The sequence below is a fragment of the Homo sapiens genome, chromosome 5 (genome assembly GCF_000001405.40).
Source record: "Homo sapiens chromosome 5, GRCh38.p14 Primary Assembly".
In the NCBI taxonomy this organism is placed as follows: Eukaryota; Metazoa; Chordata; class Mammalia; order Primates; family Hominidae; genus Homo; species Homo sapiens.
The window spans coordinates 41,387,914-41,413,297 of NC_000005.10; the positions used below are offsets into that span (position 1 = coordinate 41,387,914).

General features: G+C 36.2%; 1 protein-coding gene and 1 long non-coding RNA gene across 2 annotated transcripts in view; one reads left to right on the forward strand and one right to left on the reverse strand.

Annotated features, from left to right (window-relative positions):
* Positions 1-25,384, reverse strand: part of PLCXD3 (phosphatidylinositol specific phospholipase C X domain containing 3) — a 203,650-nt gene that overhangs the window by 80,962 nt on the left and 97,304 nt on the right. The window lies entirely within an intron of this gene.
* Positions 1,707-21,272, forward strand: LOC105374740 (uncharacterized). The gene is made up of 2 exons (XR_925950.3): positions 1,707-1,794; positions 21,066-21,272. It is a non-coding gene; the product is annotated as an uncharacterized LOC105374740 (long non-coding RNA).

The window sequence follows — 25,384 nt, forward strand, 5'->3', positions numbered from 1 at the left end:
TAGAGAGGAGAAAATGTTTGATCATTGATTATTAATATCAATGGGCTTATGCAAATAATTTTTAAAGAACTAGACTAAATGCAAAAGTAGCCTTGCTTTTTGGGTTAAATGATAAATGGCTCTTGGGAGCCACACTAAACAGGGTACATAATGGGACCATTTTCATCTGGCTAATTTTGCCTTAGTTTCTTGCTGTGGACTAGTTGGAAACTAAAAAAAAAAATACATACAATCCTTGCCCTCAAGAGTCTTATAATTTAATTAGGGAAGTTAGGCATAGAGACAAACAAATAAAACCTTATACCAAATAGCATTCCTTCATTCTTTCAACAGACATTTACTGAGCATCAGCTGTGTTCAAGGCACTTACAATTAGGCAGTGGAAGTAAAGGCAATTGATCTGGATGTGGAAGGAAAACATGTGCACTTCTATTTTTATTTATATATTTATCTTAAAATAATAAAAATTAAGCATTAATAACATTGTACTGCCACTGTCACCTCCAGGATAGCCAGATACCATATTCAGTACTCAAGATATTTTTAAAAACAGTGAGAATTCCACTGCCCTGAATGGTACCCTCATTCATTTGATCAGATTGTGCTGCATTGCAGTTTGCTGTAATATACTGGCTGGTTAAGTAGACTTTAGACTTGCAGAGTTTAATTATCCAAGCACTCCCAAAATAGACATGTGGTTTTAGAAGTTTTTTTCTTTTTCATAAAAAAGGACCAGACTAAAGATAATTCAATTAAGTAAATAAGAAAACTAAAACTGACACCTATACTTTTATTATGAGCTTTTCATTAGTCATATTACTGTATTATAATTTTAGCTAATAGAAAGACAACCAAAATAATATTAAATTACCAAGAAGACTACCTGATATGTGGATTCACTTTTACTATTAACTATGAACTTCACCCTATGTATGTACCATGTTTTGTAATACCAGTTCATAATAGAATAATAACACTACAGTAGGAAATATGTTTTAAAAAAACATATATTTTATATTTCATTAGTATAGTAATGCTTGTATAATTTATATATAAATGTATTTATAATATTTATACATATATACAAGCACACTCATAAAATTTATGGATAAATATACTTCTATCACAGTTACTTGCTTGATTTTTTTTTAATTGATAGGAAGGCCTCTGATTTAGTCCACTGGAATGATTAGACTGGAGGAACTAAGTAAAAATGACTTGGATCAGAAAATACTGGAGACAGAGAAACCAGTTAAAGCCTATTGATGTGCTGGTGATTTGAGATATAGAGCATCTCTGTGAAATAAAACGTACTGAAAAACTTCAGCCCTCAGTGCTTCTCCCCATGTTACAAGATACTGGCATCAGAAAAGACCACAAAATGAATACCAGTCTTTACTACTTCCTTGCTTTCCAAATCCCTACTGGGAAGTAAGATTTAGCAGTGTGAGAGTAATTAAGCAGAATACCTCCTTCCTCCAGATACCAACACAGATGCATAAGAAGACATAGCTGAATTTTTGAGCAACAGATGTTAACTTACAAAGGACAAGATAAGCTGTACTGTGTTCTTTGCAACAGAAGTCAAATATCCCAACATGAGAAGAGCCTCTGTGCATATAGGCAAAGATAACCAACTGTAGCTAAAGGCTCCCGTGTACTTTCAGTACTCAAAATAGTCATGCATATGGGGATTCTGTCAGTCAACACCATATCTGCTGTTGATGTTGGTAACAGTGACCATCAGAAACTTCAGGAAGTGAAAGAAGATCTCCCATAGAAAAGGAAACCATGGTCAGTATAATTTTTGTGATGAATTTGTGTTTCTTTTAAATTTTCTAAATTTCTAAAAATATACACATCATATATATTTTATATGGTAACTTTCAGTTAACTAGAATTTTTTACATTGACATGTTCCTTTTTAAATTATTATTGAGGAATAATGTACAGACAGTAAAATGTATTCATTTTAAGTATACAATTCTGTGAGTTTGAAAAATGTATGCATCCAAGCAATTGCCACCACAATCAAGATACAGCACATTTCCACCACAAAGGTCATCCCTTGTGACCCTTTGTAGCAAATTCCTCCTATCCACCCCAAGATCCAGGCAACCACTAATCTGCTATATATCACTCTAAGTTAGTTTTGACTTCTCTATAATTCCATATAAAAGAAATATACAATATGTACTTTCTTCAGTCTGGCTTCTTTTCCTTAGATGATATATTTTGAGATTCATCCTATATTGTTGTATGTATCAGTAGTTTTTTTTCTTTTTATTGCTAAATCATATTCCAACAGTATTCCATCATTTGCATACATCACAATTAATTTAACCATTCATTTGTTTTTGAGCATTTGGGTGGTTTCCATTGCTGACAATTCTGAACAAAACTGTTCATTGCTGAATATTTTTTCTGGAAACATTTCTCTTTCATTATTATTGCATAACTCCAAGGAGTAGAATTGCTAGGGTAAATGGTATTTGTTTTACCTTTTAAGAAATTGACAAATTTCTCAAAAAGATTGTCTCATTTTATATTTCCTCAAGCAATATATCAGAGTTCCAGTTACTCCACATGGTACCAATGCTTGGTAATGTCAGTCTTTTTAGTATTAGTCATTTGAGTGGTTGTACACTGGTATCTCATAGTGGTTTTAATTTTCTAATATCTGACAAATAAAGATGTTAAGAATCTTTCTGAGAGACAGGCAGAGCAAGAGCAAGAGGGTGGAATAGAAGGCTCCACCAATCGTCCTCCGTGCAAGGACACCAAGTAGTTAATAACTATCTACACAGAAAAAAAAACAAAAACACCTTCATAAGGAACAAAAATCAGATGACCACTCATAGCACTGGGTTTTAACTTCATATTGCTGAGAGAGGCTCTGAAGAGATAGAAAAAGCAGTGCTGAATGGCTGACGCCACTCTTCCCTACCCTGGCGGCAGTGGCCTGGTACAGAGAATAACTCTGGGTACTGGGGGAGGAAGAACACAGCAATTGTGAGGCATTGAACTCCATGTTGTCCTGTTACAGCAGAAATGAAAATTGGACAAAAATCAGCTGATGCTCGCTTCCTAAGGGAGCATTTAAAATAGCCCTAGCCAGAGGGAGAATTGCAGATCCCAGTGGTCCAAACTTGACTGCCTGCAAACCTCACAACTGAGGGCTACAGCACTCTGAGCCTCCAAGTAAACTTAAAAGGCAGTCTAGACCATAAGGACTGCAATTCAGGCAAGTCCTATAGCTGAATTCAGCCCAGGGACAGTGGACTGAGGTGGAACATGATACACAGAAACATCATCCAAGGAAGCAAAAAGAGTACTGTTATCACCCCTCCCCTAACCTCAGGCTGCACAGCTTGAGGCTCCAAAAGAGACCCCTTCCTTTGTCTTGAGGAAAGGGAAGAGTTGAGAGGAGTTTGTCTTTCATCTTGGATACCAACTCAGCCACAGCAGGATAGGACACCAGTCAGAGTCATGAGGTCCCCATTTCAGCTCTAGCTCCCAGATGACATTTCTAGACACACCTGGGCCAGAAGGGAACCTGCTGCCTTGAAGAAAGAGATGTAGTTCTGCCGGCATTCATCACCTGCTAAATGAAGAGTCCTTGGGCCCCAAGTAAACAGCAGTGATATCCGGGTACTACATCAAGGGCTTTGGGTGAGCCTCTAAGACTTGCTGGCTTCAGGTGAGTCTCAGCACATTACCACCTGTGGTGGCTACTGGGCAAAATTCCTTACTCTTGAGAAAAGCAAAGGGGATTTTGTCTTGCACCTTAGGTGCCAGCAGAGCCACAGTGGGGTAGAGCACCAAGTGGGTTCTTGGGGTCCTCGATTTCAGGACTTGACTCTTGAACAGCATTTATGGACATGCCCTGGATCAAACGGGAGACCATTTCCCTGAAGGGTGAGTCCCAGGCCAGGCAGCATCTACCACAAGCTGACTTAAGGGAACATAGGCCTTAAGGGAACACCAGCAATAGTGTGGCAGTACTCCTCGTGGCCTGGGGTGGTGGTGGTGGCTATGGATGAGGTTCCTCTGCCTTTGGAAAGAGAGGGAAGAGTGGCAAGGACTGCATTTTGTAGTTTGAGTGCCGGCTCAGCTGCAACACAGTAAAACAGAAGGTAGACCTATAAGGTTTTTGATTCTAGTCTCTGACTCTTGGACAGCACTTCTGGACCTACCCAAGGCCTGGGGTACCTGTCTGCTCTGAAGGGAAGGACACAAGCCTGGCTAGCTTTGCCACCTGCTGATTGTACAGCCCCAGGGCATTGAGTGAACATAGCCAAGGAGTGGTTACAGCCAGTGCTTTTCTGACTTCAGGTCTGACCTAGCACAGTCATAATTGTGGTTGCCACAGGGGTGATTCTGTCACTTCACCCCCAGCTTTAGGTGGCTCAGAACAGAGAGAGAGGGAGAGAGAGAGAGAAAGAGAGAGAGAGACTCTGTATATTTGGGATAAAGTAAGAGAAGAGAACAAGAGTCTCTGCCTGGTAATCCAGAGAATTATCCTGGATCTGAACCAAGACAATAAAGGTGATGCCTCTACAAGTCTGCAGGAATCACAGTGTTACTAGGCTTGGGGTGCTCCCTAAAGCAGATACCACTTAGATCACAATACCCAAGTCCTTTCGAGTATCTGGAAAACCTTCCCAAAAAAGATAGCTACAAATAAGCCCAGATAGTGAAGACTACAATAAATACCTAACTGCTTAATGCTTAGACTCTAAAAAATATCTGCTAGCATCAACATCATCCAGGAAAACTTGACCTCACCAAATTAACTAAATGAGGCACCAGGGACTAATCCTGGAGAAACAGAGATATGTGGCCTTTCAGATAGAAAATTCAAAATAGCTGTGTTGAGGAAACTCAAATAAATTTGAGATAACACAGAGACGAAATTCAGAATTCTATCAGATAAATTCAACAAAGACATTGAAATAATTAAAAAGAATCCAGCTGAAATTCTGAAGCTGAAAAATGCAACTGGTATACTAAAGAATGCATCGGGATCCTTTAATAAAAGAATTAATCAAGCAGAATAAATAACTAGTGAGTTTGAAGACAAGCTACTTGAAAGTGTACAGCCAGAGGAGAAAAATAAGAATAAAAACAATGAAGCACTTAGACAGAATCTAGAAAATAGCACCAAAAGGGCAAATCTAAGATTTGTTGACCTTGAAGAGAAAGTGGAAAAAGTCATAGGGGTAGAAAGTTGATTCAAAGGGAAAATAACAGAGAACTTTCCAAACTTAGAGAAAGATATCAACATCCAAATACAAGACGGTTATAAAAAACTAAGCAGACTTAACCCAAAGAGGACTACCTCAAGGCATTTAGTCATCAGTTTCCAAAGCTCATGGATGAAGAAGGGATCCTAAAAGTACCAAGAAAAAAAATAAATAACATGAAATGCAGCTCCAATATGTCTGGCAGCAGACTTTTTAGTGGAAACTTCATGGGCCAGGAGAAAGTGGCATAACATATTTAAAGTGCTGAAGAGAAAAGCTTTTACCCTAGAATAGTATATCTGGCAAAATATATCCTTCAAACATGAAGCAGAAATGGAGACTTTCCCAAACAAACAAAAGGTGAAATTTAATTCACGCCAGACCCACCCTAGAAGAAATATTAAAAAGTCCTTCAAACAGAAAGAAAAGGACATTAATGAGCAATAAATCATCACCTGAAGGTACAAAACTCACTGGTGGCTGGGCACGGTGGCTCATGCCTGTAATCCCAGCACTTTGGGAGGCTGAGGTGGGTGGATCACAAGGTCAGGAGATCGAGACCATCCTGGCTAACATGGTGAAACCCCGTCTCTACTAAAAATACAAAAAAAGAAAAAAAAATTAGCCGGGCATGGTGGTGGACACCTGTAGTCCCAGCTACTTAGGATGCTGAGGCAGAAGGATGGTGTGAACCCAGGAGGCAGAGCTTGCAGTGAGCCGAGATCGCACCACTACACTCCAGTCTGGGTGACAGAGTGAGAATCCATCAAAAAAAGAAAAAAAACAAAAACACCTCACTCGTAATAGTAAACATGGCAGAAAAACACAGAATATTATAAAACTGTCACTGTGGTGTGTAAACTACTCTTATCCTAAGTAAAAAAACTAAATGATGAACCAATGAAAAATAATAACTACAACAATGTTTCAAGACATAGACAGTATAATAAAATATAAATAGAAACAACAAAAAGTTAAAAAGCAGGGAGACAAAGTTAAAATAGAGTTTTTATTAGTTTTCTTTCTGCTTGTTTGTTTATGTAAATTGTATTAAGTTGTTATCAGGTTAAAATAATGTTTATAAGATAGCATTGGTAAGCCTCATGGTAACCTGAAACCAGAAAAATGAATACATAAAAAATAAATACAATGAATACATAAAAAGTAAAAAGCAAGATAAACTAAAACATATCATCAGAAAAAAATCACCTTCACTACAGGAAGACAGAAAGAAAAAGGAAAGTAAAGAAGACCATAAAACAATCAGAAAGCAAATAATAAAATGGCAGTAGTAAGTTCTTACTAATCAATAATAACATTGAATGTAAATAGAGTAAATTCTGCAGTCAACAGACAGATTGGTTAAATGAATGGAAAAACAAGATCTGTTGATCTGTTGCCTACAAGAAACACACTTTACCCATAAAGTCCACACAGACTGAAAATACAGGGATGGAGAAAGATATTCCATGCCAATGGAAACAAAAAAAAGAACAGGAATAGCTATACTTATATTAGACAAAATGGACTTCAAGACAAAAACTAAAAGAAGAGACAAAGAAGGTCACTATATAATGATAAAAGTATTAATTTCACAAGAGTATATAAAGTATATAACAATTTTAACTATATATGCACCCAACAGTGGATAACCTAGATATAAGCAGGTAATATTATCAGAGCTAAAGAAAGATATAGGCCCCAATACAGTAATAGCTGAAGACTTTAACACCACACTTTCAGCATTGGACAGATCTTCCAGACAGAAAATCAACAAGGAAACTTGTTGGACTTCATCTGCATCATAGACCAAATGGATCTAATATTTACAGAAAATTTTATCCATGAGCTGCAGAATACATGTTCTTTTCCTCAGCACATGGATATATTATCAAGAATATATCATATATTAGGTCATGAAACAAATCTTAAAATGTTCAAAACAATTTAAATAATATCAAGCATCTTCTCTGACCACATTGGAATAAAACTCAATTTTAACAACAAGATGAATTTGGGAAACTATACAAATACACAGAAATTTAAGAATATGCTTCTGAATGATAAGTGTATCAATGAACAGGTTAGAAAGGAAATTGAAAAATTTGTTGAAACAAATGATAATGGAAACACAATATACCAAAACCTATGGGATACAGCAAAATTAGTACTAAGATGGAAATTTATAGCTATAAGTGCCTACATCAAAACAAGGAAAAACTTCAAATGAATAATCTAATAATCTTAAAGAACTAGAAAAGTATGAAAAAACAAAACCCATAATTAGTAGAAGAAATAATAAATATCGGAGCAGAAATAAATGAAATTGAAATGAAAAAACAATACAAAATATCAATGAAACAAAAAGTTGATTTTTGAAAAGTTAAACAAAATTGAAAAACCTTTAGCCAACAATGAAAAAAGGAGAGACTATCTAAATAAAATTAGAAATAACAAAGGAAACATTATAATTGATACTGCAGAAATTCAAAGGCTCATTAGCAGCTACTATGAGCAACTATATGCCAATAAATTGGAAAATATAGATGAAGTGGACAAATTCCTAGATACATTCAACCTAGCAAGACTGAACCAAAAGAAATCCAAAACCTGAACAGACCAGTAACAAGTAATGAGATTGAAGCTGTAATAAAATGTCTCCCACTAAAGAAAAGCTTGGGACCTGATGGTTTCACTGCTGAATTCTACCAAATATTTAAAGAATAACAAATACCAATCTGATTCAAACTATTCTAAAAATAGAGAAGGAGGGAAAATTTCCAAACTCATTCTATGAGGCCAGCATACCCTGATACTAAAATCAGACAAAGGCCCATCAAAGAAAAAAAAAAAACCACAAAACAAAACAAAAAACACAAGTACAGGCCAATATCTCTGATGAATATTGATGCAAAAATCCTCAGCAAAATACTAGGAGACTGAATTCAACAATAGATTAGAAAGATCATTCACCGTGACTGAAATGGTTTGGCTGTGTCCCCACCCAAATCTTATGACAAATTTTAATTCCCAATGTTAGGGGAGGAACTTGGTGGGAGGTGATTAGATTATGGTGGTAGATTTCCCCCTTGCTGTTCTCATGGTAGTGTGCAAGTTCTCAACGGATCTGGTTGTTTAAAAGTGTGTAGCACTTCCCCCTTCTCTCTCTCTCTCTCTTTCTCCTGCTCCACCATGGTAAGACATGCTTGATTCCCCTTCACCCTCCACAATGATTGTAAGTTTCCTGAGGCCTCTCAGCCATGCTTCATTTACAGCATGTGGAACTGTGAGTCAATTAAACCTCTTTTCTTCATAAATTACCCAGTCTCAGGTAGTTTTTTATAGCAATGTGAGAATGGACTAATACAGAAAATTAGTACCAGAGAAGTAGGGCATTGCTATAAAGATACCTGAAAATGTGGAAGCCACCTTAGAACTGGGTAATGGGCTGAGTTTAGAACAGTTTGGAGGCATCAGAAGAAGACAGGAAAATGAGAGAAAGTTTGGAACTTTCTAGAGATGTGTTGAATGGTTGTGATCAAAATGCTGATAGTGATATGGACAGTGAAGTCAAAGCTGAGGTGGTCTCAGATGGAGATGAGGAACTTATTGAAAACTGGAGCAAAGCTCGCACTTGCTATGCTTCAGCAAAGAGACGACTGGAAGCATTTGTGCTCCTGCTCTAGAGATCTGTGGAACTTTGAACTTGAGAAAGACGATTTAAAATATCTGGCTGAAGAAATTTCTAAGCAGCAAAGCACTCCAGATGTGGCCTTGCTGCTTCTAAAAGCCTACAATCATTTGCATAGACAAAGAAGTGACCTGAAACTAGAACTTACATTTAAAAGGAATGCAGATCATAAAAGTTTGGAAAATTTGCAGCCCTACCATGCAGTAGAAAAGGAAAACCCATTTTTTGGGGAAGAATTCAAGGCTGCAGAAATTTGCATAAGAAGAGCCAAATGCTAATAGCCAAGGCAATGGGGAAAATATTGCTAGGGCATTTCAGAGACCTTTGTGGCAGCCCCTCCTATCACAGGCCTGGAGGCCTGTGAGGGAAGCATGGTTTCCTGGGCCAGGCACAGGGCCTTGCTGCTCTGTGTAGTATTGGGACCTGGAGCACTGCATTCCAGCTGCCCCAGCTCTAGCCATGGTTACAAGGGGCCTAGGTACAGCTTGGGACATTTCTTCAGAGGGTGCAAGCCCCAAGCCTTGGTGGCTTCCACATGGTTTAGGGCCTTCAGGTGCACAGGAGGCGAGAGTTGAGGTTTGGAAGCCTCTGCCTAGATTTCAGAGGATGTATGAAAACACTTGGATGTACAGGCAGAAGTCTTCTGCAGGGGTAGAGCTCTCCTAGTACAGGATAATCTGTATGAGGGCAGTGCAGAGAGGAAATGTGGGGTTGGAGCCACGACACAGAGTCCCCACTGGGGCACTGCCTAGTGGAGCTGTGAGAAGAGAGACACAATCCTCCAGCCCCCAGAATGGTAGATCCACTGATAGCTTGCAATGTGTGCCTGGAAAAGCCACAGTCACTCAATACCAGCTTGTGAAAGCAGCCATGGGGGCTGTACTCTGCAGAGTCACAGATGTGGAACTACCAATGCCTTGGGAGCCCATCCTTTGCATCAGTGCGGCCTGAATGTGACACATAGAGTCAACGGGGATTATTTCAGAGCTTTAAGATATAATGTCTACCCTGCTGGGTTTTTGACTTGCATGGGTCCTGTAACCCCTTTGTTTTGGTCAATTTCTCCCTTTTGGAATGGGAGGATTTATCCAATGCCTATTGCATCTTGGAAGTAACTGACTTGTTTTTCATATTACAGGATCATTGATGGAAGGGATTTACCTTGTCTCAGATGTGACTTTGGACTTGGACTTTTGAGTTAATGCTGGAATGAGTTAAAACATTGGAGGACTGTTAGGAAGGCACGTCTGTGTTTTGAAATGTGAGAAGAACATGAGATTTGAGAGGGATCAGAAGCAGTATAATATGGTTTGGTTTTGTGTCCCCATCCAAATCTTATGTTGAAATGTAACCCCCAGTGATGGGGAAGAGACCTGGTGGGAGATATTAAATCATGGGGATGGATTTCCCCCTGGCTGTTTTTGTGATAGTGAGTGAGTCCTCATGAGATCTGGTTGTTTGAAGGTGTGTAGAACTTTCCTGTTTCCTCTCCCATGCTCTGCCATGGTAAAATCTGCTTGCTTTCCCTTCACCTTCTGCAATGATTGTAAGTTTCCTGAGGCCTCCAAGCCATGCTTCCTGTACAGCCTGTGGAACTGTGAGTCAATTAAATTTCTTTTCTTTATAAGTTACCCAGTCTCAAGTAGTTCTCTATAGCAATGTGAGAAAAGACTAACATAATGACCAAGAGGGATTTATCCCTGAGATGAAGTATAGTTCAACATATGCAAATCAACCAACATGGTACGTCATATCAACAGAATGAAGAATAAAAACTATATGATCATTTCAATTGATGCTGAAAAAAACATAATATCCAACATCTCTTTATGATAAAAATCCCCAAAAACTGGGGATAGAAGGAATCTACCTCAACATAATAGCCATATATGACAGACCCACAGCTAGTATTATACTGAACGGAGAAAAACTCTAAAATCTAGAACACAACAAGGATGCCTGCTCTCACCTCTGTTATTCAACATACTACTGGAAGCCCTAGCTAGAGCAATCAGACAAGAGAAAGACTTAAAGAGCATCCAAATTGAAAAGGAAGCCAAATTATCCTTGTCCACAGATGATATAAACTAATATTTCAAAAATCTAGGCTTCAGAGAACAACTATTAGAACTTATAAACAAATTTAGTAAAGTTGCAGGATATAAAATCAACATACAAAAAAAAAGTAGCATTTCTACATGCCAACAGTGAACAATGGGAAAAGAAATAAAGTAATCCCATTTACAATAGCCACACATAAAATTAAATACCTAGGAATTAGCTTAACCAAAGAAGTGAAAGATCTCTATAAGGAAAACTATAAACTGATGAAAGAAATTGAAGAGGACACTAAAAAATGGAAATATATTCCATGCTCATTGATTGGAAGAATCACTATTGTGAAAATACCCATATTACCAAAAGCAATCTACAGATTAAATGTGATCCCTATCAAAATACTAATGACATTCTTCACAGAAATAGAAAAAACAATCCTAAAATGTATATGGAACCACAAAAGACCTAGAATAGCCAAAGCAATCTCAAGCAAAAATTACAAAACTGAAGGAATCACAATACCTGACTTTAAATTATACTACAAAGCTACAGTAACCAAAACAGCATGGTACTGACATAAAAACAGACACATAGACCAATAGAACAAAATAGAGAACCCAGAAACAACTCCACACTCCCACATTAAACTCAGTTTAGATAAAGGTGCCATGAGCATACACTGGGGAAAAGATAGTATCTTCCATAAATAGTTCTGGGAAAACTGGCTATCCATATGCAGAAAAATGAAACTAGACCCTGTCTATTACCATATACAAAAAAAAATCAAAATTGTATTAAAGACTTAAATCTAAGACCTAAAACTATGAGACTACTACAAGAAAACGTTGGAGAAACTTTCCAGGACCATGGTGTGGGCAAACATTTCTTGATCAATACCCAAGAAGCACAAGCAACCAAAGCAAACATGGACATATGGGATCGCATCAAATTAAAAAGATTCTGCACAGCAAAAACAGCAATCAACAAACTGAAGAGATACAGAATGGGAACAAATATTTGCAAGCTACTCCCCTGATAAGAGATTGATAACCAGAATATATAAGGAGCTCAAACAGCTGTATAGGAATAAAGCTAATAATCCAATTAAAAATGGACAAAAGAGCTGAATAGACACTTCTCAAAAGAAGGCATACAAAGACAAACAGGCATGTGAACAGATGCACAATATCATTGATTATCAGAGAAATGCAAATCAAAACTACAATGAAATATCATCTCACTCCAGTTAAAATGGCTTATATACAAAGAGAGCCAATAATATATGCTGGAGAGAATGTGGAGAAAAGGAAACGCTTACACACTGTTGGTGGGAATGTAAATTAGTGCAACCACTATGGAGAACAGTTTGGAGGTTCCTCAAAAACCTAGAAATAGAGCTACCATATGATCTAGCCATCCCACTGCTGGGTATATACCCAAAAAAAGAAAATCAGTATACTGAAGAGTTAGCTGAATTCCTATGTTTGTTGCAGCACTGTTTACAATACCTAAGATTTGGAAGCAACCTATGTGTCCATCAACAGATGAATGGATAAAGAAAATATGGTACATATACAGAATGGAGTACTATTCAGCCACATAGAAGAATAAGATCCAGTCATTTGCAACTACATAGATTAAATTGGAGATTATTATGTTGCATGAAATAAGCTGGGCACAGAAAGACAAACACTGCATGTTCTTACTTGTATATGAGATCTAAAAATCAACACAATTGAACTCACAGAGATAGAGAGTAGAAGATGGTTACCAGAAGCTGGGAAGAATAATGAGGGGCTTCAGAGGAGGTGGAGATGGTTAATGGGTACAAAAAAACTAGTTAAAGAATGAGTAAGACCCACTATTTGATAGCACAATAGGTTGACTATAGTCAAATAATAACTTAATGGTCCATTTTAAAATAACTTAAAGAATATAATTGGATTGTTTGTAACTCAAAGGATAACTGTTCGAGGGGAAGGATACCTCATTCTCTATGTTGTGCTTATTTCACATTGCATGTGTGTATCAAAACATCTCATGTACCCCATAAATCTACATACCTATTATGTACACATGAAAATTTTAAAAAGCTAAAAAAAAAATAAAAAAGAATATAGTGTGCTTATTTGACACTTTTTTTTGAAGTGTTCATTCCAGTCTTTAACTCATTTTAAAACTTGGTTAGCTTCTAATTATTTAGTTCTGAGAGCTCTTCTGGAAACAAGTATTTTGTTTCTTTCAGTGTGTGACTTTCTTCCATGTACTTAATGTTGTCTTTTAAACAGCAAAAGTTTTATTTTTTATGAAATTCAATGCATTTGTTTTTTATTCTTTGGTTTCCTCTTTTGGTGCTCTAAAAAGTATTTGCCTATCCCAAAGTTGCAAAAGTTTAAAAATGTTTTCTTCTGGAAGTTTTATAGTTTTGGCATTTATATCTGGGTCCACAAACCATTTTGAGTTAGTTACTATGGATGACACGATATAAGAGTCAAAAGTTAAAAGAACATCCAGTTGTTCAAACACTACTTGTTGAAAAAACTGTCTTTTCTTCCACTAAATTACCTTGGCATATTTGCTGAAATTAATTGACCATATGTGTATGGGCCTAGCTCTGGAATATCTAATTAGTTTCCCGATTTCTCTATATGCCAGCACCACACTGTCTTAACTATTATGATAGGCAGCCTTTCAGATGGCTCCCAGTGATCTTGCTTTCTGGTTTTCTCATTCTATTATAACGAGACTCTTGATTTTCTAAAAGAGTTTGTGTAAGACATGCATTATTTTCCTCTTAAATTTTGAATTAAATAAACTGTTGAAGCCATCTAGTCTTGGAGTTCTTTTGTGAGAATCTTTTAAACCATAAATTCAATTTCTAAATTAAAATGAGGCTATTTACTTAACTAACTTTTGGTAATAGTTGCCTTTCAAAAAAATCTGTACATTTACTTTCTGAGCTGTAGAGTTTATTGGTACAAAGTTGTTCATAATATTCTTATTACACTTTTAATGCCTGTAGGATCTGGTGATGCCCCTCCTTCATTCCTGATGTTGGTTAATATTTTTCTTTCTTTCATTTTCTTGATGAATGCAAGTAGAGATGCTAAATTTTATTGACATTTCCTAAGAACCAGTTTTTGTGTCATTGTTTTTTCTGCTATGTATTTTCCTTATTGATGTCTACTTTTCATATATAATTTTCTTATTTCAAATTGCTTTTGGTTTAATTTGTTCCTTTTTTTTAGCTTTTTAAGGCTGAAATTTAGATCACTAATTTTTATACCTTATTCTTTTCTAAAATAAACATTTAATGATAGCTTTTTCTCTAAGTACTGCTTTAGCTACATCTCAGAAATTCTACAGTGTTATATTTTCATTTTCATTCAATTAAAATTATTTTATAATTTTCCCTCTGATTTATTCTTTAACCTCTAAGTAATTTATAAATGTGTTATTTTCCAAATATTTATAGATTTCTTAGGCAGCTTTTTGTTATTCTTTTAAATTTACTTCATTTTTGTCAGAGAACATGCTCTCAATAATTTTAATTCTTACAAATTTATTGATATTTATTTTATTTTATTTGGTAAATTTTTCATGTGTGCTTTAAAATAATTTTATTCTACTGTTATTGCACAAAGTACTATGTAAATGTTAATTAGGTTAACCTGGTTGATAATGTGCAAGTCTTCCATATCTCTATTAATTTTCTATCTGTTTTATTAATTATTGAGAAAGGAATTTTAAAATGTCTAACAAAATTGTGAATTTATTCTTTATTCTCTGTTCCATCACTTTTTGCTTTATATATTTTGAAGCTCTCTTATTGTTTATAAGTACTATAATTGTTGTGTCTTTTAATATGTTAATCTCTTTAATATGAAAAGTTTCTTTTTATCATTAGTAGTAGCCCTTGTCCTGGATATTAATATTTAATATCATATCATTTTTGTATTTTTACTTTTAACTTATTTGTGTTTAGATATAAAATGAGTTTCTTGTAGAAAACAACTTGTTGGCACTTAGTTTTATATCCAGTCTGACAATGTCTGCTTTTGAATTCAATTGTAATCCATTAACATCTAAGTATTCACTGCTATGGTTAGGTAAATACACCATTTATATTTACTTTGTCGCATCTGTCCTGCATTCCTGTTTTTCTCTTTTTCTTCCTTCTTTGGGTTAGTTGAATCATTCTCAGAATTCTATCTTATGCCAACCTTCGGCCTAGTAGCTAGACTCTCTACCTTTGGCTTTACTAAAAAGGTTTACTTTGTGGATATGATATAAAATGCATTTCTATAAGAATTTTCAATATCACTTTAGGGGTTCTTTTAAAACTAAAAACAAGATTAGAAAAGAGGAACTCTTTTTTTTTTTTTCTATTTAAAGGCTTTTAATTATTTGGAAATAATTGTAAGCATACAGAAAAGTACAAAATAACACTAAGAATACCCATATGCCATTTACCCAGATTGACTTATTTGTTGTTTTTTTTTTTTTTTATTATACTCTAAGTTTTAGGGTACATGTGCACATTGTGCAGGTTAGTTACATATGTATACATGTGCCATGCTGGTGCGCTGCACCCACTAATGTGTCATCTAGCATTAGGTATATCTCCCAATGCTATCCCTCCCCACTCCCCCGACCCCACCACAGTCCCCAGAGTGTGATATTCCCCTTCCTGTGTCCATGTGATCTCATTGTTCAATTCCCACCTATGAGTGAGAATATGCGGTGTTTGGTTTTTTGTTCTTGCGATAGTTTACTGAGAATGATGGTTTCCAATTTCATCCATGTCCCTACAAAGGATATGAACTCATCATTTTTTATGGCTGCATAGTATTCCATGGTGTATATGTGCCACATTTTCTTAATCCAGTCTATCATTGTTGGACATTTGGGTTGGTTCCAAGTCTTTGCTATTGTGAATAGTGCCGCAATAAACATACGTGTGCATGTGTCTTTATAGCAGCATGATTTATAGTCCTTTGGGTATAAATAGCTATTCTATAAGCCTAAATAAAACATCTTGATAATTTAACTTTTCTTTTTAAAAATCAAAGACAATATATGGTTGCTCAATAAAGAAAAGTGGTGCATAGAGTCAGGTATCAAAATGCATTAACTTCCAAGTTGGCTCTTCCAAGCAAATGACTCATATAAATTGGCCTTTAGATTAAAATACATTAAGCAATGGAGTGCACTGAAAGCATCATTGAAAGAATTTTTGGAAAAATAGGCTCAAATTTACAGTCAGTCAGTAACTCACTGTTTAATACTCGAGGATCATCAAACCTTCTAGCTCCAGTTTTCTAATTTGGTTAATTAAAATACCTTTCACACCTACTTTGCAGGACTCTTATAAGGAACAAGTGGAACCATGTGGAACCATGTTAATGAAAGTCCTATAAAAGTACTATAATACTTACAATTCCTTATTTTATTTTCTTATGGTATAACTCGGCACAAACATCTATTCACCTGAGAATTAAAAAAAAAATCACCTACACAAATGCACATTAGGATAGCTATGCAAGCACATAAGGAAGAAGGGCAAGGAAGGAAATGATTTAAGTTGCAGAATTTAGGTTTGTAAATATTAGTAAAAAATAAGAATATTTACTACCATCTGTCTAAGATTTTATAAATATGGAACAATAAAAACTGCTTCATCCTTTATTGCTTTGAGCAGTGTCTAAAGATTTATATTCTGCTATATTAATAAAACTTGTATATGATATATAGTAAGTATGAATCTTTCTCCATTTAATATCTTTCCAGTATTATTTATAGAAGTTTTTGGAATGAACTTCCGGTTGGTCTCTCAGTTTAGCCATAATCCCATTTCAAATTCTACAAAATTATAGGTTTAATAAACATCAAAGAAAATGTATCAAGTCAATTTCATCTGTGACCCTTCAGACCAAGAAGGCCCCAGTGTGCTGAGGTTTGACATGCTGTGAATGTTCAATTCCAGTATCCATATCCTGACCTTGGAATTCAGGCTTTGACTCAGTTAAGATAAGAACTGCTTCTCTCCTTGTTTTGGCAGAGCACTGAGCTTGCTTTTGACAACACTATGTGTTAGTACATCATGTTTTCTTGTCCTTGCCTGTTCTATTTCTGTTCTTTGGCTCAATGCTTTCTGGCAATAGGCTTTCTACATATATAATACCTCCATACCTTTTATGATAATAGGACCAACACTATGGTTGTTGGGAAGCAAACATACCTTCCACCTATGAACCAAAAAGAGGCTGCTGGATGAAGATATATAAGGGTAGCTTTGTTGTTTGAGGTCTTTTTCTAGGATAGAAGAAAGGCAAGTGGCAATATTTCTACTTCCCATGGGAAGAGATGGAATTCTGGAGTGAAGCTTACCCTTTTGTCTTGCCATATGAAAGTTTTTATCTTAGTCTCTTCTGTAACCAACATGTATTTCCTCCTTTGTACCAAAGCCTTTTACCCATAGTTGTCTTTCTCCTGAATTCACATTCATATCGTCTACCCCTCCTCCTATCAAGTAATAATTATTGTTGGATGTTATTACGAACACTTGTTATGTTCACTAAATTGTTTTTCTGTCTTTATATCTTGCTGTATACCTGCAGTCTCTCATGTACACACACTTGATTTTAAGCTAGATTATAAGCTTCCCTAAAAGAGAAAAAAGAACCTATGCCTTATAATTCCCTGTTCCCACTGCTGCATCTAGCTGTATTAATATAAAAATATTTGATTCAAGTCAATGGGTCCATTGTTCACATGAGATATGCTTCAAAAGTGAGAGAACTACATCCACTAATAACATTTTTTACCAATTAGGCAATCATTGGTCCAATTTTTTATTTGTTTGTTTTGTTTTGTTTTGTTTTGTTTACCATTTCCATTCAAATTCTCAGATTAGTCTACTTAATCTGCCTCTCTCTTCCCCAACTTTGGTTCCATCTTTAACCCACTGTAATAAGGTTATCACTGTTGCAACTCATATAAAACCCCAGCAAAATGCCATTGATGACTACTAAATAAAATTGACCGGTCACTGTCTTGACTTCATTCTTAAGTCTCAGCACAAAGCTTGGTAGACATAAGTTTATTCTATTAAATAAGCAAATACGTGAATCCTGCACAGCCTTTCTGGAACATTTGATACAGCTATGCTTCCTTCTCGAAATATTTTCCTCCTTTGGTTTTTGAGACATGGATCTTTCCTAGATTTTCTTCTCTTTCTGTGATTGTCCTTTACTGCCTCCTGTCCTTCCAACTCCCAAATGAAGGTTAACACCTTCATTTCCCTTCACCCAAAGCTGTATTGCAGACCTCAACTTGCTTCATACTTTTTCCTTGGGTGATATCATCCATTTCTTTAGTCTCTTTTGCCTTTATATAGATGCATCAAATATTGATACCATCTAATTTGACCTGCATTTTAGAGCCCCTGTGTGCCTATCTGACAACTAAATTTTATTGTTCCATGGTTACTATAAGCTTACATGTCCCAAACAGACTTTAGTATCTTCCCCTTTAAATCTGCTCCTTCTTGTTTGTCCACTGTTACATTTCCTTATCTCATCATCCTTCTATCTCATCCTTGGGTTAATCTTCAACTCTTGCTTGCCCTTCAAACCTTACACTCAATCAGTCTTGAAGTTGTACTGTGTCATGGTAAATACTGTGTAGAGGCATAAATCCTCTCTCTCCAAATCCTCTCTCAGATCTGTTTTGTTCTCTTCCATTCCATTGACAGTGGTCTGGCTTCCTGTGGGGGCCACTGAAATAGCTTTCAGGTACTGCTTTGATTCAATCCTCTGTAGCTTTCCCTTCATCTCAGCTGCGATCATTCAACCCTCCTCTATGGTCATTACCCTGCCTCAGCCTCTAGAATGGATTTAATCTTAGGTAAAAGATATATAATTATTTTCCAGCCCAATACATTGGCATTTGTTAAAAAGTTCCTTTTGCTTTTTGTCTCATTTTCATTAACAAGACTTTTGACTTGGTAATGTATTTAGCATTCAACTCGCCTAAAGGAACTATTTGCTTTTATAGCCCTCTACCACCCTGTCACTAAATGCTAGACTGGTAGCTGGAGCCTGGTCATCTGCTGAGTCTGCCTGCCTGCCAGTATTTTTTTCATACCACTGTCTTAAGAGTTCTAAGCTAGCACCATTCCCTGTTGCCTTATATCAAATCCCTAAGCATGGCCCTTTGTGTGGACTCTGGCCTTGAGAGGTTTCAAATCTGGCTGATGTTATGTGGGACTATTGACTTCAGTACATGGTCCTCTATGTAACTGGATAGGCAGTGGTTCATTCCTGATAGTACTTAGAAAAAATGAAATCTACTCTTGGTATGTAACTGAGGAGATAAAATACACAGATTATGAAAATAATATTAAATCTCAAAATACTTCTACTTGATTTGGAAGATAGTTCAAATTGTGAATACATGATGATCAACATGACAAGAAAAAAAAATTTCAAAATTTACTCATTTGATTCTTACCTGACAGCTAACAATTAATCTTAATTTTTGCTTACTGTGTTGATTAAACTTATCAGTTATTTGGACTTTTGGAGACAAAGACCAGCCATTGAGCAGAAAGGATCACTTCTTTTTCCTGGCACATAATTTTGCCTCAATCTTCCAGCTCGTGATTGAGTCTTTATGAACAATCCAAGAGATTTTATGTCATTAAAGACAACACACAATATGTATCACAATCTACAAGACTTCTAGAATTGAACAGATCATTGAAAACCACAGACCTGTAACTTAATATGTGTATTTCACTTGACATAATAAATGAATAGGAAATACATTTTTTAATATTAAACCCAAAATAGCTCACGGAACACTAAGTTTAATCCTTTTCTAAAGAAAGCATCAAGATAGTCATGCTGTGATTTCTCTTTGGGCAAATCTGTATCTTTCATATTGTGTAAAGCCTCCTCCTCAGTACATCTTACAGTGAGCTCATGTAAAGAAAGTTGGTTTCCTTATTTAAGTCTTTTGATCCAATATTCAAGATGCTAAATTTGAGAAGTCCTATTTTACTGATGACTCTGAGGAGTAGAGAAGTTCAGTATTCATCACAATTTTAATCAACTTGCTGGGTCATTTCTTTAAACCAGTAGATGAGCTGACAACGAATCATTTAACAGCATCAATATTCAGATTATTCAGATCAAGAGGCAGAAAAAAAGAGCTTGCTCCCATTGCCATCCATGGTGAAACTATTAAGTCTCTTTCTCATATGAATTTATTTTTAAAGATTATCAGCAGGGCTTCCAGAAAAAGAATTATAAGAGACCCAGGTATTACCAATGCTGCTCTTTCAAGGCCCACACTTTGAATGTGAGGTATTAAGGTAATACAGACATCTTCTTGCTCATCAACTACTCATTACATTGCCTTCTTTCCTGAGCCCTGAGTTTCCTGTGCTTCCACTCTCAGTCTCTTTTCTGACACATACACACATATGCATATACACAAACACACATACATGTTGACACACATACTTCTGCTTATCTGATCTGAGTTGTGATTATATGAGGACATTCTAAGTTTTGGGAGATGTCACAACACCTGTGTTGTTGGTTGAATACTTTCCTGTCACATATAAAAAAATCTGAACTAAACTTTTTTTTAAAACAAAAAGGTTGACAGAACATTTATTAATAAGTTTTGTGATTAATTTTATTTTAATAAACTGTCTGAGGTTATTTAGTTATTAATACTCATAAGAAGAACTCTGGAAGTCAATCCGCACATCTTTATTAAGAAGTCAAACACAAGTCTGTGGCCATAAGAATACGGTGTCGCATAAGTAAGCCTAATTCCTCTTACCCTTGAGGCCACCAAGCTGCATTTTCAAATGTATATATTTCTACATTTGTAACGATCACCCTTCCAAATGTAGTGAGTCAGGGAGAAGGATGAATCAAGGATGACTAAATAATAAGAAAGATGGGGGAGGAAAGTGTCCATAACAGAGATGTGGCAAAGATGAGGAAGAAAAAGAGCAGATTTTATTAACACTATTGCCTTGGCTATTTTAGCAGAACACAGAGAAGAATCCAAAAAGGACATGTCTGTTGGCAAACAACTTGGGAGAGAACCAGAAGTGAACCCAGTTGCTTGTGTCATTATTTTGCCTTAGCCTCCAAGAGCCTGAACAGCCCAAGGAGGACAAGACAGTCTTGACCTAAGGGAAAGATATGCTTTATTTACAAGAAAACATTAAAAAATCTGTTTTGTACAGGAAACTGTCTAGTTCTTTTCCTATTCACTGCCCCCAAAGATGACCTATGAAGCTGGAGAAACTGGATTATCGGGAGCCTTGAGCAGCCTTAAGCCCAGGGTGCTAAGGTCACAAAATGGATCACTCTCCCTTTGCTGGCTGGGCTCCAGCCACAGCAGGCTTTTTTGAGCTTATCAAATATACTAAGCTCATTTCAGCTTAGCCCCTGCACTTGGTAATCCCACTGCCTGCGATACTCTGCCCCTCATTGTGTGCATGGCTAGCACCTTTTCATTCAAGTCTCAGTTTAAATGTCATCTTCTTAAATAAACCTCGTATCTAAAGTATCTAACTCATCCAACCCTCCCCTGCTGCCTGTTAGTCTGTATCACATGATCTAGTGATATTTTCTTCATAGAGTTTATCACTAGCTTCAAGTTTCATTTTATTTAGTTGCATATTTGCTTGTTGTCTATCTCTCCCCACTAGCATTTAAATTCCATGAGAATTAGTATAGAATCTGTCTTGTTCGCTATTGTGCCCTCAACAAAAGGCACTGCCACTAGTACATGAAAGATGTTCCCTAAATATTTGTTGCATGAAATAATATATTTTCATTTCACTAAACCTCAACATCCTCATCTATAAATAGGACTGATATCACTACTTATAAAGATTATAAAATAAGTGATAAGCAGTAAACACAAATTATGCAGACAATATTCAAGAAGTATTAACTTTTATTATCACCATGAATTACAATTTCTACATTATTAACACTGAGAACTAAGTGCCTGGCACAGAGTAGGTTTTCACCAAATGAATGAATGAATGAAAGAATTAATAAGAATTATACTGAGAGATTACAAACAACATGGTTGTCATAAGCTCTCAGAACTAACTCAAAGAAAATACTGCCACAGCCTCTGGGGTACTTTAGATAGATTAATGTCTTCTAAAGCCCCCCTCCTTTTATTTATCTTTTTTTTTTTTTTTTGAGACGGAGTCTCACTCTGTTGCCCAGGCTGGAGTACAGTGGCGTGATCTCGGCTCACTGCAGCCTCCGCCTCCTGGGTTCAAGCAATTCTCCTGCCTCAGCCTCCTGAGTAGCTGGGACTACAGGCGTGCGCCCCCACGCCTGGCTAATTTTTTTTTTGTATTTTTAGTAGAGATGGGGTTTCACCATGTTGGCCGGTATGGTCTTGATCTCCTGACCTCGTGATCTGCCCACTTCAACCTCCCAAAGTGCTGGGATTACAGGTGTGAGCCGCTGTGCCCGTCCCCCGCCCCCCAGCTCCTTTTATGATTCCCTGGACCGTGAATTTCCTGTACCGGATGTCGCAATGCCAAGCCCTGCCAATTCTGGAAGGCTCTGCTCCTTACACATGTGCCGTTTCAGATTCTTACTATTACTGTATGTTCTGATATCCAGGCTCAGCACTGACAGCTGTCCTTCTACCCAGGCCATCTGAAGGAGGCTCAAGTGTAGGGCACCTCACTTTATGGCCACCTTTTTTCCCAGCAGTTTTATCCTTGTGACAAGGACCTAAAACTGAGCATCAACAGCAGCGGTTGAAAGAGAAGCAAACAAAAGTCAGTGCCATATAGAGGTAACGTGCAGCATAAGAAAAGAAAGTTGGGAAAGGAAATGTGGTTGCCACACAGTCAGCCACATCTTCCCTATTCCTCTGTAGCAGCTAATTGTATAAGACGTTGATATCTTTTTTATGCCACCTTCTCCCCCGATTTCTCCACTGGAGCCTCCTGGTGGTGGCAGACCCTGCAGTTTGGGGCAGTCTTGAGTATATGTAACCACAGGAGCAGCTCTTATGTGGGAAGACAGAACACATAGCCTGGGCAAATGGGGGAGGGCAGATTAGATAAAAACAAGTCCATATCACTAAAACCAACTATTCTGAAAGACAATGACTCGATTGTGTTTTCCCTCTAAGAAGAAAACAAATACAAAACCTGGCAAATAAACAGTCTAATTATTAAATTCTCTTAGATTTGAGAACCAAGAAGGCCTCTGAAGCCTATTTACCTTTGTTCTTGTATGTCTGGCACTATTTCTTTTCCTTTTATGAATAAAGAAAATCTGAAATAACACAACATTACCCTTAATCATGTTTGTGCTACAGAAATAACATCTCCTTGAAATACCAGCCTTTGATTCTATGATGCCCTCACCAAACACCACTTCTTGCCAATAGCTGGATCTTTTCTTTATCAAGGGAGTGTTTGAGGGTTGGGGATTATTTCTTTGCTCTTCCTTCCAGTCTCCCTTTCTCTTCCTCTAGCCTTGGGATTTGAGATCTGGATATGTAGAGAATATATTTCCTTTTGCTCTCCAATCTCACAGCAGAGCTGGGATAATAAGAAATGTTTATAAAACTGGCACAAACAAACAAACTGGTTTCTAAAAACTAGAATGTAGGTACCAAGTTGAGCCCATCATAAGATGATTCTGAATAGTATCACCTTCATGCTACATGATATTTGGTCTTATAAATCTTACATGGCATGCAAACATTCCCAAACTCCTTACTCCAAATAATATTTTTATAATTTTATATTTTATAATTTTATAATTTATAATTTATAATATTTTTATAATAGTTTTGGTCATATAGAGTATTGATCATGGATATATATATGTCCATATTGATATCCATATATATATCTCCATATATATGTATCCATATATATATCTCCATATATATGTATCCATATATATATCTCCATATATATGTATCCATATATATATCTCCATATATATGTATCCATATATATGTATCCATATATATATATGTATCCATATATATCCATATCTATCTATCTGTATGTATGTATAGCTGCACCATTTAGAGCACACACAGACACAATCACATTTCTAACAATTGTTTTACTTCTTAAGGAATTTTTTTAGGCCTTTTTAATACACTGAACTGTTTATATTGTCTTCTGATAGGAACTGTTTAGACTGGATTCAAATCGTGGTCAAATTTATACTCTATATTCTTACTCATGTTTGGTCTCTTTAGGAAAAAAATATATACCAAATGCATTGGGTTACAACATCAATGTTTTTCCGTAGTATTACATAGTCTTCAAACATTGTTTAAATGATTGCATTGTGCCGTATATGCTAATAAATACTTTAACAATTCCTTTATAAGTATGTGTTTCGAGTTATCTCTTTTATTAATTATACCGAAATGAAACTCTTCCTATATCTTTTATAATAAATTCTCAGAAATTCAGTAGTCTCATTTATTAGGAGGTGACTTACACCCTTTCTTTACCTTTACTTCATTATTTCTTCCTGTCTTTTCTCAGAGTTGTGTACCTAACTTAAAAGAAGTCAAGGACATGAGAGCTGTTAGTGGGAAATTACAGTGGCAATGTGCTCCTTTGCCACTCGCCCTTGATAATGACCTTCTAATCACATACTGTTTTCAGTCTGCACCCCTCCGCCTCAGAAAACAGGCATTTCTTGTTTCAGCCTTAATGTCTCACATCTTTATTACATTATCTTTTATTGTGTCAGCCTCTACTTCTTATCTGTAGTCACTCAAGATCTTACCTCAAAGAACCCCCTAATGCTAAAAGGACTTGATATTGTCTGGACTTGGTGACATACAATTTAGAGTATACACAGACACAAACACATCTCTAACAGTGCTTTACTTCTTAAGGAAAACTGTAAAGCCTTTCTTTAATTCAACTATTTGTACTGTCTTCTGGTAGGAATTGTTTAGACTGGATTTAAATTGTGGTCAAATTTGCATTCTATATTCCTACTCATGTTTGGTCTCTTAAGGAAAAAAGAAGTAACGACATGACAACCAGTAATTTTCTAATGATCCTAAGTTGAGATCAAAACAAAACAAAGAATAATAATAAACTCTGCCATTTATTGTATTACACTTACTAGAATTATATGTTTAACTTGAGAGTTACCACCAGTTCACAGAAGATTGCAAATAATTTTTTTTTAAATTGCCTACTTACAAGTTACTTATTTTTCTACAAACCAAACAAATACTTTGCAAGTGAATGATGCCAAGATTAGATCATGAAAGTCATAAATTTTGTACAACACAAAGAAAGGATGGCTGCGAGCTGGCTCAATTG